Source organism: Homo sapiens, chromosome 16 (genome assembly GCF_000001405.40).
Source record: "Homo sapiens chromosome 16, GRCh38.p14 Primary Assembly".
In the NCBI taxonomy this organism is placed as follows: Eukaryota; Metazoa; Chordata; class Mammalia; order Primates; family Hominidae; genus Homo; species Homo sapiens.
Genome location: NC_000016.10, coordinates 21016320 through 21037518, shown reverse-complemented (window position 1 = coordinate 21037518; position 21199 = coordinate 21016320). Strand labels below are relative to the sequence as shown.

Sequence of the window (21199 nt, the reverse complement as noted above, 5' to 3'; positions counted from 1 at the left end):
TGTTTTTATCCAGTTTAATTAGTTTCCTTTTGTAATTTAATTTAATCTTACTTGCCAGGCTCTGAGCTTCATAAGGACAGAAGTCATTACTATCTTGTTCATTCCTAGTACAGTGACTGGAAGATAATCCAGACTTATTAAATATTTGCTGACTTTTAAAATTATTTGGGGGAGAAATTACACGGTTTTTTTGTTTTTGTTTTGTTTTTTGAGATGGAGTTTTGTTCTGTCGCCCAGGCTAGAGTGCAGTGGCATGATCTCGACTGATTGCAACCTCTGCCTCCTGGATTCAAGTGATTCTCCTGCCTCAGCCTCCCGAATAGCTGGGATTACAGGCATGAGCCACCATGCACAGCTGAATTTTGTATTTTTAGTAGAGACGGGTTTTCACCATGTTGGCCAGGCTGGTCTCGAACTCCTGAACTCAGGTGATCCACCCACCTCGGTCACCCAAAGTGCAGGGATTACACAGGGATTCTGGCCTAGCCAGAAATTATGTTTTATAAATAGCATTTTCATTTGTAATTGTAGAAAAGTTTTGGTGCAAGAAAAATAAGGTCTGGAATTTTTCAAAGATCTCTGTTGTTGATACATCTCATTTTAGGAAAATGTTGAGGTCATATATCTGATACTTTATCCTTTCCACTTTCTTTTAAATTCTTTTTAACAGGGAATTATATCTGATTTATTTCCTGGAGTTGTTCTTCCAAAGCCAGACTATGAAGTTTTTCTGAAAGTGCTGAATGATAACATCAAAAAGATGAAACTCCAGCCAGTACCTTGGTTTATAGGGAAAATTATCCAGGTTGGTTCCTTAGCCCATATAAATGTGCCTGTTTTACTGTTTGCTGAAGTCAGCAAACAGTAAAGTCTTATAGGAGATTGGAACTGAAGTGACAGCAATCAGAGGTGCCTGTGTAGAAATGCAAGTAAAACATTAGCTGGGCGTAATGGCCTATGCCTGTAGTCCCAGCTACTTGAGAGGCTGAGGTGGGAGGATCGTTTGAGCCCAGGAGTTCGAGGCTGCAGTGGGCTATGATCATACCACTGCATTCCAGCCTGGGTGACAGAGTGAGACCCTGACTCTTAAAAAAAAGAAGAAAGAAATGGAGGTAAAACAAACAACCAAAACCAAAAAACCCACTTACTTACTCCATCAGTTTTTGTGTTTGTTTGTTTGTTTGTTTGTTTTTGAGATGCAGTCTTGCTCTGTTGCCCAGGCTGGAGTGCAGTGGTGCAATCTTGGCTCACTGCAACCTCTGCCTCCCAGGTTCCAGCGATTCTCCTGCCTCAGCCTCCTGGGTAGCTGACATTACAGGTGCGTGCCGCCACCCCCCAGCTAATTTTTGTACTTTTTGTAGGGATGGGGTTTCACCATGTTACCCAGACTGGTCTCAAACTCCTGACCTCAGGTGATCCACCCACCTCAGCCTCCCAAATCCCATCATTTTTTGCTGTGAGATTTTAGGCAAATTAGTTCACCTCTTTTATCCTCAGTCCTCTGTAAAATGGAGTCATTTTGAGAGAAGAGGTGTGTAAAGTGCTACACATAGTACCTGATACTATATCATTATCAACTCCACCATCTCCGTCATCATCAGCAGCACCATTGGCATCATCATTTCCCAAAGTCACAATGTGAGTTACAAGTGAAGTTAGGACCCAGGTCTCCAGATTCTGAGATCACACTGCCTTGTGGTAAAAACAATCATTCTTTTTCCTACTGTATTAGCAAGTGAGCTAATTTTTGACACAACTCATTTAACCCAATTTTGAACCCCAATTTATGATTGAGATTTTGCAGAAGGACCATTCTTTAACTAGGCATGAACTTTAATTTTCAATATTTTATTATGAAAAATTTTAAACATGCAGAAAAATTGAACGAAACGTACGCAGAACATTCATGTACTCACCACCCAGATTTTACAATTAATATTTTATACTATTTGTTTTATTTTTTATCCATCCGTCCATCCATCCATCTTACTTTTTGATATATTTCAAAGTAATTTGCGGATCTACAGATGAACTTTCATGTAGCTTAGTACCAATTTACAAAAACAAGGTAATATTTTCAAAAACAAGGGTTCTGGAGCTACCTGCCCTTTTACTTATTGATGTCTCAATGTGAGGAAGAATGTGAGAGGCTATTGAATCTTTAATGTTTTCCTCTCTTATTCGTTTTTTATTTTAAACAGTCTCCCTCCATTACCCAGGCTGGAGTGCAGTGACGTGATCTCAGCTCACTGCAACCTCCACCTCCCAGGCTCAAGCGATTCTGCTGCCTCAGCCTCTCGAGTAGCTGGGATTACAGGCATGTGCCACTATGCCCGGCTAATTTTTGTATTTTTAGTAGACATGGGATTTCACCATGTTGGCCAGGCTGGTCTCAAACTCCTGACCTCAAATGATCCCCCCACCTTGACCTCCCAAAGTGCTGGGATTACAGGTGTGAGCTACCCAGCCCAGCCTTCCTCTCTTATTTCTGATGCACAGTCAAGCTTTCAAACCACCTGAATGTCAACCCTACTTAATGGTTAGGGATTTTGTATTGTTCTCTGCTCTGTAACTTTCAAACAGTAGCTTTCAAACCTACCTGAATGTCAACCCTACTTAATGGTTAGGGATTTGTTTGTTTTGTTCTCTGCTCTGTCTACAGCACCCAGAACAGTGTCTGGCACATAGTAGATGCTCAAAAAATATTTGCTGAATTACATGTGTTCCTTTCTCTACCACTCCCGTTGTCACTACCTTCATTTAGATGCTTCTTATTACTCACCTCCAAGGTGAAAAATAATAAGAACTTAATCTTTAAAATACAAAGCTGCTTGTGTTCCCTTTCTCTGAGGGAGTCACAGTCTAAAGGAGCAAATTTGTTTAAACCATAAAATTCACATAAATGCAAATGACCAAAGCAGTTAGATCTCAAGAAAGAAAGTTTCCAGGAGAAACACAATTTGCTAAAATGACCGCCATTTTCTTTTTCTCTTTAAAAATAAATGGCAATAGTGTCATGAAAATATTAGAGGCGTTAAAGTCAAATAGCCCTGTCTGCAAATTCTGGCTCCATCACTGATGAACTTGGGCAAGTATTTAACCTCTCTTGGGCTCAGTCTTACCCTTTGTAAAAGGTGGTCAATGATATTGGAGTAGATTAAATAATTTGGGTTATCAGTTGATTCTTAACACATAGACAAGTACAGAGCAAATGGTAGTTCCCATCCCTTAAATAATCTGAGACACACACATATATTTTTTCGTCTGAAAGATATGTAAACAATAGACCATGAAAAGAACCGAAGTTCTCCAGAGGTAGAAGCAACTGTGAGAATCCTCTTCTGACCCCTCATTCCTCATTGACTTCTGACTAACTCACAATGGGGGAGCGTTGCAATGATTAGCTTCTTTTATGAATGATGTCTCCTCCCAGATCTACGAAATGATGCTGGTGAGACATGGCTATATGATTGTAGGAGACCCCATGGGCGGCAAGACCTCTGCTTATAAAGTGTTGGCTGCAGCTCTCGGCGATTTACACGCAGGTAAAGCTCACATCCCTGGCTTCCAGGGAGGACAGAACTCCTCGCTCAGTTGGCTGGCTCCATGGAGATAATGCCAGGCTGCTAGTCTTGTCAGGCCTCGATCGTGACGTCAGAGCTAGAAATAGAACATGGCACACAGATGTCTGCAAGCAGAAAATAAAGGGTTGGGGGCGGGGTGCTTCTATAATAACAAGGGATTTCATGTGCATATCATTAAGGCCTGGAGGAATTGTCTCAAATGCTGAGCAGTGGTTTCTCCAAAGGTCCCCCAGTGAAAGAGAAACTCTTGTCATTGGCCTTAAAATTAGTCTAAAAGCAAATCACTGCATGGTTTTGCTTCTTTGCTTCTATTCTCTTCTTTTCCTGTTCCCTTCCCTTTAGTTTTTTCCCTCCCTCCTTCCCTTCTTTTCTTCTTTCCTTCCTTTTAAAGTCAAGGATAGGAGCTCCTGCTTTTGAATCAGACTCAGACTTGGGCAAATGACTAAACCTGTGTTATCCTCTGTTTTCCCAGCTGTAAAATGGGATTGTTATGAGAATTAAGTAACAGCATGCAGGTAAATAACTGAGCACAGTGCCTACGCAACAAATGGAAACTATGTTTCCTGCCAGAGAAACAGTTGTGGGTTTTTTCGTGTGTGTGTCTGTTTTGTTTTGTTTTTATAAAACACAAACCTATAGTTTCATAAAAGCATTTCCTTTTCGTGCATGCATTGCTTCAAGTTTTTCATTTAAAATTTTTTTTCTAATAACATTTGATGATTGGGTTTTTGAGGTTATGTTTTGGGGGTTATCCTAGCCTTAATAACTAATTTGGGCATCTCAAATTTAGATACAAATTTTGAGGCAGGGAACAGGGGCTCACACCCATAATCCCGGCATTTTGAGGGGCCAAGGCGGGCGGATCACTTCAGCTCAGGAGTTTGTGGCTGCAGTGAGCTATGATTGCGCACTGCACTGCAATTGCAGCCTGGGTGAGTGAGATCCAGTCTCAAAATAAAATAATAGAATATAATAAAATATAAAATATTTTTAGCATTTTAATATACCTTAAAGAAATATACCTTTAATATACCATTTTAATATACCTTAAGAAACTGAGTGAAGAAAAAGGAGGCTACCACTGTGTTTGCCTCAGGATGCTGCAGAGTAGTTCTTTTTTATTTATTTAATTATTTTTAATGGTTTTTAGAGATAGTGCAGTGGCACAGTCTCGGCTCACTGCAACCTCTGCCTCCTGGGCTCAAGCAATCCTCCTATCTCAGGCTCCCGGGTAGCTGGGATCATAGGCATGCACCACCATGCCCGCCTAATTTTTGTATTTTTTGTAGAGATGGGGTTTTGCCATATTGCGCAGGCTGGTCTCGAACTCCTGAGCTCAAGCAATCCTCCTGCCTCAGCCTCCCAAAGTGCTGAGATTACAGGCATGAGCCACAACACCTGGCCCAGAGGTGGTTCTTTATTTAGTTCATGACTCAAGCACTTCAACTTTTCCCTACTTTGAAGGATTCCATAAAAGCATTGTGATTTTTTTTTGTTATTAAATACATATGCTGTGCCATCCATCAGCCTGTACGTTCCAATTGAGTTTTAATACTCCAGCGTGTATTTCTTGGGAACAAATGACACTCACTGAGCAGTCAAGAACGATTTCGGGGCCAAACTAGCCCTTCAGAGACAGAAAAGTAACCATCATTTTTCAGAACCTTTTTACCTGTCAGCTGTTTCCCGTTTCCTCATTTCAAATCAAAGCCAAGGTTCTGATCTGTTCTTTTCATTTTTAATTTCTTCCTTCAGCCTGTTTGAGTTTGAAAAGCCAAGGTTCTTAGGGTGGCTGTGAGAGCAGGTACATAGAGGGCTGATAATAGGCGTCACTCTCCCTTCCTGCTTGAGTTCTGTGAGGGCAGTCAGATTTCTTTAGTCCTGGATTTTTTTTTTTTTCGAGACAGAGTCTTACTCTGTCGCCCAGGCTGGAGTGCAGTGGCATGGCCTCAGCTTACTGCAACCTCCACCTCCCAGGTCCAAGTGTTTCTCCTGCCTCAGCTTCCCAAGTGGCGAATGGCTGGGTTTACAGGCATGCGCCACCACGCCCAGCTAATTTTTGCATTTTTAGTGGAGACAGGGTTTCACCATATTGGCCAGGCTGGTCTCAAACTCCTGGCCTCTAGTGATCCACCTGCCTTGGCCTCCCAAAGTGCTGGGATTACAGGCGTGAGCCACTGTGCCCAGCAAGTAGTCCTGGATCTGACTGGCACATTTGCCCTATTTGAAAAGAGGATTGGAAGAAAGTATGGTGAGAAATCAAAGGCTATAATAACCCAATAATGTAAGGCATTGCCTATCCAGATGTCTCAGTCAGTCTTTTTTTTTTTTTTGAGAGACGGCTTCATTCTGTTGCTCAGGCTGAAGTGTGGTGGCACAATCATAGCTCACTGCAGCCTCCATTTCCCAGGTTCAAGTGATCCTCCCATCCTGGCCTCCCTGAGTATTGGGATTATGGGTGTGAGCTACTACAGCTCCTGGCCCCAGATCCCAATCTCTATAAAAACTGAGCACATGTTTTATAAGAAGGACTTCCCTCATATGGCATATTTATAAAAGTTGATTGGTTGTTGAGATGACATCATCTCTTGTTTAACCTTCTGGTCTCACCAGAGCCTTTATAACTGGTGTTGAACCTTCTTGCCCAGCCAATCAGATGGAGGAGTTTGCTGTGGAGTACAAGATCATCAACCCCAAGGCTATCACGATGGGGCAGCTGTATGGGTGCTTTGACCAAGTGAGCCACGAGTGGATGGATGGTGTCCTTGCCAATGCTTTCCGGGAGCAAGCGTCTTCACTCTCTGATGATCGCAAGTGGATTATATTTGATGGGCCAGTGGATGCTATTTGGATTGAAAATATGAACACTGTTCTGGATGACAATAAAAAGGTAAGTATTGACCCTGATATGACTTTTCCATGAGTGAGACATAAACTCTTTTATTGAAGTAAGTGATTGATCAAAACTATATAGAGACATACATTTATTATGTATGTATTCTGTATACATTAAGAATAAATGCCCCACAGGAGGATTATAGTAATCAATTCATGAATTATGCTCTGTTTGTACTTGTAGTTGGTAAGCTAAGCATGTTTAGAGACCACGTTGAATAGTGAGCCTTAGTGCTGGCATCAGTTTGGACTCCTAGCCCTGCAACTGAGCTGTGTTGTACTGAGCAAGTCACATCACTTCTCTGAATCTCAGTTTTCTCATTTGTAGAAAGGTAGTAATAAAATGAGGTTGTTGATACTTAAATGAGATTGCACATAGTACCTGCGGGATATGTTTTGGTTACTTATTGCTATATAACAAACTACCCTAATACTTAACGGCTTAAAACAACCATTTCTTTTCCTCATGATTTTGTGGGCTGGGAATTTTGAAAGGGCTCAGCTGGCCAGTTGGTCTCTCTTTTGATGTCAGCTGGGGCAGCTCAGGCTAGAAAATCCGCATTCAAGATGGCGTCTTCACTCAATGCCTGGTGGCACAATCATATTTGGCCCATCTTTCTCTCTCTCTTTTTCTTTCTCTCTAAAAATAATACCTCCTCTTCCAGGCCACTTCACATGGCTTGGGCTTTTCACTTGGTGGTGTCTTGGTAGTGGCGCTTCCTATGTGGTGGGTGATTTCCAAGAGTCAGGAAGTGGAAGTTTCCAAGATATTAAGAGCTATGCTTGAAACTGATAAGCATTACTTTCTCTGCATTCTGTTGGTCAAGGAACTCACAAGGCCTGACCAGGAAGTGGAAAAATAGACTTCACCTCTTGATGGAGGCAGACAGGTCACATTGCAAAAGTGCATATGGGCTGGGCCCTATAGGCTCACACGTGTAATCCTAACACTTCTAGAGGCTGAGACAGGAGGATTGCTTGAGCCCAGGAGTTCAAGACCAGTTTGAGCAACACAGTGAGCCATCTCTACAAAAAAAAAATTTGTTTTAATTAACTGGGCATGGTGGTAAGTGCGTGTAGTCCTGCTACTCAGGAGGCTGAGGTGTGAGGATCCCTTGAGTCTGGAAGTCATGGCTACTGTGAGCCTTCATTGTGCCACTGTGCTCCAAGCTGAGCAACAGAGAAAGACCTTGTCTCAAAAAAAAAGTGGGGGCATATGGGATGGAATTTATGTAACTTGCCCAACACAACACAGCTCAATAGTAGAGTTAGGAGTCCAAACTGATGCCAGGACCTTTGGAAAATATAGCAATCTTTGCAAAAATACCACCAATCTTTGGAAAAATAAGTAGAGTAGAGTGATAACACAGTAAGTATGGCGCCACAGTATGTATGGTGGCTAAAAGAGCTTGGACTCTGGAGCCAGAGAGCCTGGGTTCAAATCCTGGCCTTGCCACTTTCCAGCTATGTAACCTCAGACAAGCTATTTAGTCTCTTGATGCCCCAACTTCATCATCTGTAAAGTAGGGACGATAGCGTCTACCTTATACTGTTACGAAGATTAGATAAGTTACTATTTATACACCTCTTCTGATGGTGCCTGGCATATAGCAAGTGCTATATAACTGTTTAAAATAAAATTTATCATCATCTCAAGGAAGAATTCCTTCACTGGATATACATCATTATCAAATCAAAATATATTTTCTAACTGTGTTTAAATGTCACAAGACTAAGAGTGAGTCATGCTCAACAACGAAAGGGCTAATTATCCAAATTATACACATCCACTAATTATAGCATGTGCATAATTTTGATTATATAATATTCAAAAATGGAAATGTTTTATTACATGATATGGACTATATTATATAAACTAATTGTACAGATGTATCGGTTGGTCTTGAGATTAGAAGTATCAAGAGAGTCATAATAAGTGAATTTCCTAATGGTTTTCCTCTGCTCTGGATGTAAATGAAACTACAGTCACAGGTGTGGGTCTGTTTTAGCTTTCTTTATATTCAGAGATGACGCGGTTGGTGGTGTCAGCCTTGTAACAGCTGTGATCTTCCTGGGGATGCAGGCAGTGACCTGTTTCAAGTTGTGTTTGATGCAGGCCAAGTAAGATGCAGGGAAGTTTTTAATCACAAATTAGGATGAGCAGAATGAATCAGTCGTATTTCCTCTTCTCCCCTGGGAGACAAGGGCCTCAGGCCTTTCTTATAACTTAAACATCTCACTGGAATCCATTTTCGTGAGTAGGAAACAGTGTCATTGACTTAGTATATATTCCAAGGCTTTCCTGTGTAATTGCACTACTTCCTACAGGGTTTTACTTGCTACACACTAGAAATTCTGATGATTTTTCTTTCTTTTTTTTTTTTTTGAGACAAAGTCTCCCTCTGTTGTCCAGGATGAAGTGCAGTGGCACGATCTCAGCTCACTGCAACCTCCACCTCCCGCAATTCTCCTGCCTTAGTAGCTGGGATTACAGATGCGTGCCACCATGCCCGGCTATTTTTTTTTTTTTTTTGTACTTTTAGTAGAAATTGGGTTTCACCATGTTGGCCAGGCTGGTCTCCAACTCCTGACCTCAAGTGATCTGCCTTCCTCGGCCTCCCAAAGTGCTGTGCTGGGATCACAGGCACGAGCCACTGTGCCTAGCTTCTTTCACTCTATTCTAAAAAAGATTTATGGGCCAGGCACGGTGGCTTATGCTTGTGATCCTAGCACTTTGGGAGGCAGAGACAGGAGGATTGCTTGAGCCCAGGAGTTTGAGATCAGCTTGGGCAACACAGTGAGATCCTGTCTCTACAAAAAAAATTTTAAAAAATATATTATGGAAACATTGATTTAATCTAAAAACAAAAAACAAAAAATAAAAAACTAGCCACGTGTGAAGGTACACACCTGTAATCCTAGCTACTCAGGAGGCTGAGGTGGGAGGATCGCTTGAGCCCCAAAGGTCGAGGATGGAGTGATTGCAAATGTGTCATTGTATTTCAGTCTGGGTAACAGAGCAACACCTGTCTCAAAAGCAAATAAAAATTAAAAATAAAAAGAATTTATGGAAAGGCTTTTGTCCCTCCTGCTATGGATTAGTCCATGCGGGTGTTCAAATATGGGTCTTTTGTGAAAGAATTGAGCAAATAAAAATAGGATGTGGCTTTGCAGTTAAGTTCTATGTTAAATATTGAGAAAGGGACCAGGAAACTTGGTGAGGTCTGATAACTTCTCGATTCTTCATCTGAGATTGCATCTAAGGTCAGTGATTCCCTGGCTTTCCTATTAAAATTGCAGCTCACTCAACCCTGACTGAGGTCAGGCATGTGCCACCATGCTCAGCTAATTTTTGTATTTTTAGTAGAGACAGGGTTTTACCATGTTGGCCATGCTGGTCTTGAACTCCTGACCTCAAGTGATCCACCCGCCTCGGCCTCCCAAAGTGCTGGGATTACAGGCGTGAGCCACCATGCTCAGCCTCTTTGTTATACTTTATTTGTGACTTTCCCTATACACATTTTTTTAAGAAGTAGGAAGGCCATCACTAAATAAATACACACTTAGGTGTGGATCTATATAGTATATGTATGTGTAGATATATGTATGTGTAGATGCAACCCCCTCTTCTACTAAATTTTTCTCCAGAGCACTTTTCACCACTTCGAACACTATATATTTTGCTTATTGTCTGTCATCTCCCAGAAGAATGTAAACCCCAAGAGGATAGGAAATTTTGTGTTTTATTTTATGCACCTAGGAGTTAGTGCATAACAGTGCCTGGGACATCATAAGTGCTCAAGAAATATTTATGGAATGAATCAAACCAGCTTTGTCTGCACTGAGACCTCTTACTTGCAGATGGAATTTAAGCCTTTCCCCTGTCTGCTACCCTCTGCTTTGCACTTTTAGCTGTGTCTCATGAGTGGGGAAATTATCCAGATGAACTCCAAGATGAGCCTGATCTTCGAGCCCGCCGACCTCGAGCAAGCCTCTCCAGCCACTGTGAGCAGGTGAGGCAGCCCTCACTGGCACCCCGGGGGACAGTGTGGCTCCACTCACCCTAAGCAAAAGAGAAAGCTCTCAAATTTCACAAATGTGATGAAGCCCTCGCAGATCATCTACATTATTATTATTTTTCTTTCCAATTTTTATTTTAGGTTCCAGGGGGTATATGTGCAGCTTTGTTACATGAGTAAATTGCATGGCATGGGGGTTTGGGGTACAGATTGTTTAGTCACCCAGTTAATCAGGTTGTTTTTCCATCCTCACCCTCCTCCACCCTGAAGTAGGCTCCCATATCTATCATTTCCTTCTTTTTTTTTTTTTTTTTTTTTTTGAGACGGAGTATCACTCTGTCACCCAGGCTGGAGTCCCGTGGCATGATCTCGACTCACTGCAACCTCTGCCTCCCAGGTTCAAGCGATTCTCCTGCCTCAGCCTCCCCAGTAACTGGGACTACAAGCACACGCCACCACCCTCGGCTAATTTTTGTATTATTAGTAGAGATGGGGTTTCACCATGTTGGCCAGGCTGATCTCAAACTCCTGACATCGTGATCTGCCTGCCTCAGCCTCCCAAAGTGTGGAATTACAGGCATGAGCCACCGTGCCCAGCCAATCGTTCCCTTCTTTGTGTCCATGTGTACTCAATGTTTAGCTCCCATTTATAAGTAAGAACATACGGGATTTGGTTTTCTGTTCCTGCGTTAATTTGCTTAGCATTATATTATTTGTCATTCATTTAGATTTGTCATAAAATCAGCCCTCAGTCCACACTACTGGTGGGAGTCTAAAACCCAGCAAGTACTTTGGAAACAGTTTGATATTATCTCCTAAAGTTGAATCTCCGTATGCCCAAGAGCCAGCCATTCTCCTAAGTACAGGCCCAAGGAAAACTTTTGGCATGTGCAACAGGAGATCTGTACAAAAAATATAGTGGCAGAACTCACAGTAACAAGCACTTGGAAACAGCCCAAATGCCTGTTAATCGAGTTATTGGTGGCCAGGTACGATGACTTATGCTGTAATCCCAGCACTTTGGGAGGCCGAGGCGGGCAGATCACCTGAGGTCAGGAGTTTGAGACCAGCCTGGCCAACATGGTGAAACCTCATTTCTACTACAGAAAAATACAAAAAAATAGCCAAGCATGGTGGTGGGTGCCCGTAATCCCAGCTACTTGGGAGGCTGAGGCAGGAGAATTGCTTGAACCCAGGAGGCAAAAGTTGCAGTGAGCCGAGATCACACTACTGCACTCCAGCCTGGGCGACAGAACAAGACTCCATCTAAAAAACAAACAACAACAACAACAACAACAAAAGAGTGAATTAATAAAGTATAATAGAGTCAGAAATTGTAATATGTATAATAAAGTACTCAAAAGAACTGCACTGACATGCAACTATATAAATAAATCTTAGTAACTCTATTAAGGACAAAACCTTAGCAATATTATATAGAACACAGATAATGTAATAATGTAATTATATCTATAAATATATTATATCTATAATTACATCTATAAATATGTTATATCTATAATTACATCTATAATTACATAATTATATCTATAATTACAGTATATTATATATAATATAATGTTATACTATATACTAATATATACTATATTATTATGTGCTAATATATAATAATATATATACTGTATGGTTATATGCTATTATATACTATATTATTATTATATAGTAATAATAAAAGTAAGATCAAAATATTATCTATAACATGGTACCCCTTTTTAATTGTTAAAAACAACTAAAATAAAAATATAAACACTTTAGGAACAGGCCGGGCGAGGTGGCTCACACCTGTAATCCCAGCGCTTTGGGAGGCCCAGGTGGATGGATCACTTGAGGCCAGGAGTTCTAGACCAGCCTGGCCAACCCTGTCTCTACTAAAGACAAAACCCCATCTCTACTAAAAATACAAAAAAGTTAGCCAGGTGTGGTGGGACGCACTTGTAATTCCAGCTACTCGGGAGGCTGAGAAATGAGAATCACTTGAACCAGGGAGGCGGAGGTTGCAGTGAGCCAAGATTGCACCACTGTACTCCAGCCTGGGCAACAGAGCAAGACACTGTCTCCAAACAAACAAATAAACATTTTAGGAACATATAGAAATGCTATAAAACTGTATATGAAGGAAAGAAATCAAGGGGCAGATGAACACAAGATTCAACGTGGGTAAACCCAGGGGACTAGGTTATTGTCAAGATCCATTAATGCCTAGCATGGTGCCTGACATGCAGTAGATTGCTCAATAAATGTTAACCCGTATTAGTAACAAAGAAGCGAGCACCTAAACTGGTCCTCTGTGCTTCCCAGGTGTGGGATGATCTACATGGAGCCCCATCAACTAGGCTGGAAGCCCCTGAAGGATTCCTACATGGACACCCTGCCCTCCAGTCTCACCAAGGAGCACAAAGAATTGGTGAGCCCCTCAGACCCTTTCCTTCCCCTCCTGCTGTCTCCCTGCTTTTCATCTCGAGGGTCTTCTAGGTACATCTTCACCTTCATAGTCCCTGGAGGCAACAAGGGGCAGGGAATTCCCTTGTTGTCCCCAGTTATCTTGTTTCCTGGCTGCCTGCCATTTTTCGAACTTTCTTCTCCATATGGTGGGCCTGGGGTGGTGCAGTCAATTTCTCTTTCCTCTTCCTCCTTCCCCATCACTCCCTGGCTCCCCAGTGGAGAATCCCAGTGCTGAGGAATGTTCTCTGTGGAAGCTGAAATGTCACCTCTTTCTTCATTGCCCCACTAACAGAAATGTCTGTAGAAGTTTCTCTAGAGATGGGCCAGGTGTTCCTTTTGGTGCTGCCAATTCCCATCCCTGTAACCTGGACTCTGCACCTCCCACCTTGAGGGAGCTGGAACCAGTTAGAAGTGCTTTCACTGCAGCTACTGTGAGCGACCACTCCCTTCTTCCCTTCTCTAAAGAGGTGGGAAAGTTCGGGTTAGGCGGGTACCTGACCACACTCTCAGACCCGGAAGCAGGAAGGGAGTAGCGGTGTCTGTGGTTCCTCTTGCCCTCCCCTGTGTTAATAGAATGCTTAGGAAAGTCTCCCACTGAGGAATCCAAGGATGGTCTATTCCTACAATGGAAACTCTTTGGGAGATTATGTAGGACGGCTGAATGTCTGTCATCACCTACATACATGGATAATATGTAAAGTGCAAGTACATATCCACGTGCACATTCAAGCGCCAGTCCACACACACACACACACACACACACACACACACCCCAAAAGCTGCCAAGTCCCCATATATGTAAAGTCATTTAGGGACTCCCCAATGTCCCTGGCACAAAGTTTAACTCCTTATCAGGGCCCATGAGACTATGTGATCTGGCCCCGCCTGCCTCTGCAATCTCATTTCCTGCTCTTTCTCAGCCTCAGCTTAGCAGTCTCCAGCAGTCCTGTCTTGTTTCCAAGACAAGCCCAGGTTTCATCACCTCAAGGCTTTTGCTCTTTTTATTCCTCTTCCTGGGACTCTTGCCTCAGTTTATCTCAGAGTTGGCTCCACCCTCATCATGCAGTTCTCAACATAAAAATCTCCTCCTCCAGGAAGGCTTCTTTACCCTATTTAAACCCTTCCTGTTATTCTTCACCATAACACGTTTGTGTTTCCTGCTAGAACTTTGCATGATCTATAGGTATTTTACTGATATCCCTGCTGGATTAGTTATTTATTGTTTGTCTTCCCTGACCCTCCATGAGGGCTCCTTGTCTACCTTTTCCATTGTTTATCCCCAGCACTACTACCGTGCAATTAGTAGATGCTCAATAAATATTTATTGACTGAATTGATATACCACATTTCCATGTATACCTGTATTTTTATATATACATATAAATGCATCTACACATACATAAATTATCTATATAGATCCACACCTAAGTCTGTATTTATTTAGTGATGGCCTTCCTACTTCTTAAAAAAAATGTGTATAGGGAAAGTCACAAATAAAGTATAACAAAGAGGCTGAGCGTGGTGGCTCACGCCTGTAATCCCAGCACTTTGGGAGGCTGAGGTGGGCGGATCACTTGAGGTCAGGAGTTCGAGACCAGCATGGCCAACATGGTAGAACCCTGTCTCTACTAAAAATACAAAAATTAGCTGAGCATGATGGCATGTGCCTGTAATCCCAGCTACTCAGGGAGTCTGAGGCAGGAGAATCGCTTGAACCCAGTGGGGGCGGAGGTTGTAGTGAGCTGAGATCACACCATTGCACTCCAGCCTTGGTGACAGAACAAAACTCCGTCTCAAAAAAAAAAAAAATTTAGTAAGTAAATAAATAAATCTTTTTTAAAAAAAATATAACAAAGGTTTAAAAAAGCATTACAAGAAAAGCAAGTCGGATAACTTTTTAAAAGAGTAAATGGACTGGAGAACAGACACTAGAGGCAAGAATCATGATAACCCCAAAGAAGAACATATAAACCTACCCATACGTGTGGTAAATTACTGAAAATGAGCCCCCCAAATTAGCTCTGTACTCTCTTTGACTAATTTATACAGGAGTCCCACCTCACCAGTGTCTAACATAACAGTCATTTGTAAATTAATTGTTTAGAATTCCTAATACTTTTTATAGAAACAAAGACAGATACACTAGTTGGGTTCTAAACACATTTTATGCATCCTGTAGCTGACCCAGAGTATTTCCAAGCCTCTCTGAGTATCAGCTCTGGGCAGTGGAATGCGGATGGGAAACTGAGTTAACATGGCCTGTGGGCAACAGTCTTAGGACCCTGAAGGAGGATGCTGAGATAGGGGTCTTGTTGCCTATAAGTTTTCCCCCAATGCACCTACATTTAAATCAGCAGTCTAACCAGCATCTCTAGCCTCACAAGGTAGACCAAGCTCTTGGTCGTCAACTCACTTGTTGATCATGTCTCCAAGTCTCATGGAGGTTTCTACTCTCAGGTCAATGACATGTTCATGTGGCTTGTCCAGCCCTGCCTGGAATTTGGTCGCCTTCATTGTAAATTTGTTGTCCAGACATCTCCCATCCACCTTGCCTTCTCAATGATGAGACTGTACTCTTCTCTGCTTGGTAAGTGCTAGCCATGATTCTTAAGCCACATGGGGGGTGGGTCTACCTTGGCTATTTCTTTTTTTTTTGAGATGAAGTCTCACTCTGTCACCAAGGCTAGAGTGCAGTGGCATGATCTTGGCTCACTGCAGCCTCAGCCTCCCAGGTTCAAGTGATTCTCCTGCCTCAGCCTCCCGAGTAGCTGGGATTAAGTTACGCACCACTTCTATTTTTTTGTATTTTTAGTAGAGATGGGGTTTCGCCATGTTGACCAGGCTGGTGTTGAACTCCTGACCTCAAGTGTTCCACCTGCCTCTGCCTCCCAAAGTGCTGGGATTACAGGCATAAGCCACAGCGCCTGGGCTACCTTGGCTATTTTTTCTGCTCCCACCTCTCTTTGGCCCCCATTGAATTACAACATGACTGGCTGTTTGATCTAGAACAAGCAAGCCTTTGGAGTGCAGATAGTAGAGTTTGGTAGGCAAAGTCCATGTGTTTAGTCTTTGTCTGACATTGATTTTTGGGTGGTATTCTAGTGCAAATTACCCCATCATTCCTCAGTCTAAGGCTCCTCATTTACATAATGAGAGTAGTAATTCCTGCCCTTTTTACCTCACAGGGATATCCTAGAGGGAGATGAACATAGCAGGACCCCTGTCTTACCTCCTCTCTGATAAGAGATTAATTTCCAAAAAAACAAAAAAGTAAATGTAGACTTATTGATCCAGCACTTTCACCTTAGCATATAAACCAAAAAGAATTGAAAGCAGAGACTTGATCAGATATTTGTATAACCATGTTCATAGAACTCTTGTTCACAATACCCAAATGGTGAAAACAACCCATGTGTCTACCGATGGATGAACAAATAAGCAAAATGTATTGTAATTTTGCAATGAAATACTATTTAGCCTTAAAAAGGAAATAAATTCTGATGCATGCTACAGCTTGGATGAACACTAAAGCCATTATACTAAGAAAATAAGCCAGTCACAAAATGACTGTGCGATTCTTCTCTACAATTAATGTACATAGAGTAGCCAAATTTATAAAGACAGAACGGAGAGTTCTGGTTGCAAGGGGGATGAGAGAGGATGGAGGGAGAAGTTATTGTTTAATGGGCAAAGAGCTTCAGTTCTTCAAGATGAAAACAATTCTGGATATAGATGGTGGTGATGGTCGCACAGCAATATGAATGCACTTAATACCACTGAACTATACACTAAAAAATGGTTAGATGGTAAATTATATATCATGTATTTTACCACAATAAAAATATTGCAGTAAAGGCCGGGTGCGGTCTCTCACGCTTGTAATTCCAGCACTTTGGGAAGTTGAGGTGGGTGGATCACGAGGTCAGGAGTTCGAGACCAGTCTGGCCAACAACACAGTAAAACCCCGTCTCTACTAAAAATACAAAAATTAGCAGGGTGAGGTGGCGGGTGCCTGTAATCCCAGCTACTTGGGAGGCTGAGGCAGGAGAATCACTTGAACCCAGGAGGCAGAGGTTGCAGTGAGCCGAGATTGTGCCACTGCACTCCAGCATGGGCGACAGAGCTAGACTCCATCTCAAAAAAAAAAAAAAAAAAAAAAATATATATATATATATATATATAGTGATTTTATATATATATATATATATACACACACTATATTATTATACAGCAGTAAAAATAAAAATATTGCTCACGGCTGTAATCCTAGCATTTTGAGAGGCCGAGGTGGGTGGATTGCTTGAGCTCAGGAGTTCGAGACCAGCCTGGGCAACCTGGCAAAACCCCATCTCTATAAAAAAATACAAAAATCAGTCAGATGTGGTGGCTAGTGCCTGTGGTCCCAGCTACTCAGGAAGCTGGGGTGGAAAGATCACTTGAGCCCGGGAGGTTGAGGCTACAGTGAGCTGTGACTGCACCACTGCACTCCAACCTGGGAGACAGAGTGAGACCCTGTTTCAAAAAAAAAAAAAAAATGCATGTGAAATGATCTGGTAGGTGATAGGCACTCTGCCAATATCAGTCGCCCTTCTGGCCCAGACCCTTCAAAGGCAAAGCCAACCAGTTCACAGCCCTTACATCTGTGGCATTCTGCACTCTGTCCTGAGATTCGCTTTTCTCACTTTTAGATGAAATCAGGGCAGTAGAAGAGGAGGAAATGGAATTAGGTGAAGGCCTGTCAAGTCAACAGATCTTTCTCTGGCTCCAAGGACTGTTTCTCTTTTCCTTGGTGTGGACCGTGGCTGGCACCATCAACGCAGACAGCAGAAAGAAATTTGATGTGTTTTTCCGCAACCTGATCATGGGCATGGATGATAACCACCCAAGGCCCAAAAGCGTCAAACTCACCAAAAACAACATCTTTCCAGAAAGAGGTAATTTAGAACCTGTTTGTTATGTTCTAGTATAATAGTTGGAATTACGTGTTCTAAACACAACCAGAATGTGCAGACAGGTGAGCCCTTTACAAAAGCCACAGAAGGCCAGGCACGGTGGCTAATAAATATGTAAGGAATTACAGAATTAAAATATCATCATTGGCTGGTTGTGGTGTCTCACACTGGTAATCCCAGCACTTTGGGAGGCTGAGGTGGGCAGATCACTTGAGGTCAGCAGTTCAAGACCGGCCTGGCCAACATGGTGAAACCCCGTCTCTATTAAAAATACAAACAAAATTAGCTGGGTGTGGTGGCATGCACCTATAAACCCAGCTATTCAGGAGGCTGAGGCAGGAGGATTGCTTGAGTCCGGGAGGTAGAGGTTGCAGTGAGCTGAGATCATGCCACTGTACTCCAGCCTGAGCAACAGAGCTAGACTCTGTCTCAAAAAAAAAAAAAAAAAAAAAAAATAGAGTTGGCCCATGGGTGGTCCTGAAGTCAAGGTTTTATGGGATACTTAACCACTTTTTTAATTTAGAAAAAGAGGATATGACTGTTTTATTTTTGCAAAAATTACCTATAATTCCATCACCAAAACAAAATGAGAAATATAGACACTTGTGTTTTTCTTATTCCTTTCTATTTCTGTGTGTGTTGACATGCCTTCGTATAGGGTACTTATGGTATTAATATTTCTTTTAATTTTGTCATTATAATTTTTTTTTTGAGATAGAGTGTTGCTCTCTTGCTCCTGCTGGAGTATAGTGGTATGATCTTGGCTCACTGCACCCACTGCCTCCCAGATTCAAGAGATTCTCCTGTCTCAGCCTCCCAAGTAGTTGGGATTACAGGCATGCACCACCACGCCTGGCTAATTTTTGTATTTTTAGTAGAGATGGGGTTTCACCACATTGGCTAGGCTGGTCTTGAACTCTTGACCTTAAGTGATCCACCTGCCTCAGCCTCCAAAAGTGCTGGGATTACAGGCGTGAGCCACTGCACCGGGCCTGCAGTTATATTTTAATATCATATTGAAATGTTTCCAATTTCACTACATACATTGTCTTCAAAATGATCACTTAGTGACTGTAAATATTCTTATGTGTGTGACATCATTTCTTATAAGGAAGATGCTTCTTCTAAGTCGCTTTTGTTTTGTTTTTCTACCACCCAAGTAAGACATTATATAAAATTTAGAAAATACAGAGAAAGGAATAGAAGAAAATTAAGATCAGTGGTAATCCCACTATCCAGAAATATCACTTCTTATGTTTTCTTTCAGTTTTTTCTATATTCCTAGAACAAAAAGAGGATCATACTACAAGTACTTCCCAAATAGCTTTACTTTTTGTGATTGTAAAAAAACATGTATCAAGGGCCATGAGAGAACTTCTAGGGGAGATAGTAATGTTGCATATCTTAAGAGTGACCTGGATTACACAAATATGTGCATTTGCCAAAACTTAGAAATGTGGGCTTAGGATGTGTGCATTTCATTGTAAGATTTATATCAAAGGAAAAATATATAAACAAATACTGAACACTAGGTAATAAGAAGCACGCCAAAGTATTTATGAGAAAGTGTGTAGATGCTTAAAATTAATTTTGAATTTTTTTTAAAAAAAAGATAGATTAAAGGAAGGATAGAGGGATGACCAGGTATGTACTAAAACAAATAAAGAGCTAACGGTAAAATCTAGAAGGTGAGTATACAAATGTTCACTGTACAATGTCTTCCATGTTTCTGTATGTTTGATAATAATGAAACATTATTATGTTTCATAATAATGAAATAATGAATGAGCAAGTAGATACTATTACCGCCTGCCACATACTCTTTCTCTGCACAGCTTGCACACTTCATTTGATACATGGCCATCTGTCAGATTGTGAACCACAAAAATCTGAGACAGGTCTCAGTTAATTTAGAAAGTTTATTTTGCCAAGGTTGAGGACGCATGCCTGTGACACAGCCTCAGGAGGCGCTGACAACAAACATGCGCCCAAGGTGGCCAGAGCACGGTTTTATACATTTTAGTGAGATATGAGACATCAATCAACGTATGTGAGGTGAACATTGGTGCCATCTGGAAAGGTGGGACAACTTGAAGTGGGGAGGGGACTTCCAAGTCATAGGTAGATAAGAGAGAAATGGTTGCATTCTTTTGAGTTTTCTGATTAGCCTCTCCAAAAGAGGCAATCAGATATGAATTCATCTCAGTGAGCAGAGGGGTGACTTTAATAGAATGGGAGGCAGGTTTGCCCTAAGTGATTCCCTGCTTGACTTTTCCTTTTAGCTTGATGATTTTGGGGGCCCAAGATATGCTCCTTTCACAAGATGAACCACAGGGAGGCTCTGTCTCTGTATCAATCCATTAGTCAGATTGTCATGCATTCATTGAGTTTTTGGTTTGGATGATTTTTGCTTATTTTATTGTCATAGTAAAATGCACATAACACAAAATTTACCATTTTGACCATTTGTAATTGTTCAAATCAGTGGTGTTAAGTACATTCACATTGTTGGGCAACCATCACCTCCCTCCATCTCCAGGACGTTTTTCACATTCCCAAACTAACTGTTCTCATTAAACAGTACCTCCCCCAAAGCCCCTTCTCCACCCCTACCCTGGAAATAACCATTCTACTTTCTGTCACCATAAATTAGACTGCCCTGGGTACTGCATGTAAGAGGAATCATACAGTATTTGTCTTCTTGTGACTGGCTTATTTTACTTAGCATAATGTCTTCGGCGTTCATCCATGTTGTAGCACGTGTCAGAATTTCCTTTCTTAAGGCTGAATATATTCCATTTCATGTATACACCACGTTTTGTTTATCCATTCATCTGTCAGTGGATCCTTGAGTTATTTGCACCTTTTGGCTATTGCGAATAAAGCTGCTATGAACATGGGTGTACAAATACTGTCTTTTGAGTCTCTGCTATTTCTGGTGTATATACTCAGAAGTGAAAATCTGGATCATATGTTAATGCTATGTTTAATTTTTTGAGGAACTGCTGTAATGTTTTCCATAGAGGCTGCAACATTGTACCTTCCCACCAGCGATACACAGAAGTTCTGATTCCTCCACATCCTCACCAGTGCTTGTATTCTCTCTGTATGTTTTACTGATAATAGCCATTGTGGTGGGTATGAAGTTCATTCTTATTTTTTAAGAAAAAAATATACAATAAAAATATGTGATAAAAAGAGAGCCACAATTAATATTTTGATGACAATTCTTTTGGACATTTTCTTATGCATGTATGTGTCTCCAGGTTTGTTTTTAAAATATAAG

The 21199-nt window shown here is 41.5% G+C and overlaps 1 protein-coding gene across 17 annotated transcripts in view; it reads left to right on the top strand.

The window, feature by feature from the left end:
- The window catches only part of DNAH3 (dynein axonemal heavy chain 3), a 226349-nt gene that overhangs the window by 121941 nt on the left and 83209 nt on the right, over positions 1–21199 (top strand). For 14 of the 17 annotated variants that reach the window (XM_017023432.2, NM_017539.2, XM_047434349.1 and 11 more), the window contains 7 exons: positions 671–805; positions 3434–3545; positions 6233–6474; positions 10392–10492; positions 12818–12923; positions 15419–15548; positions 17650–17895. In XM_017023432.2, the coding sequence (XP_016878921.1) occupies positions 671–805; positions 3434–3545; positions 6233–6474; positions 10392–10492; positions 12818–12923; positions 15419–15548; positions 17650–17895 (1072 nt within the window). Of the gene's footprint in view, positions 1–670; positions 806–3433; positions 3546–6232; positions 6475–10391; positions 10493–12817; positions 12924–15418; positions 15549–17649; positions 18061–21199 lie in introns of those variants that run through there. The other 3 variants (XM_017023426.2, XM_017023431.2, XM_017023430.2) reach the window with 3 other exon arrangements.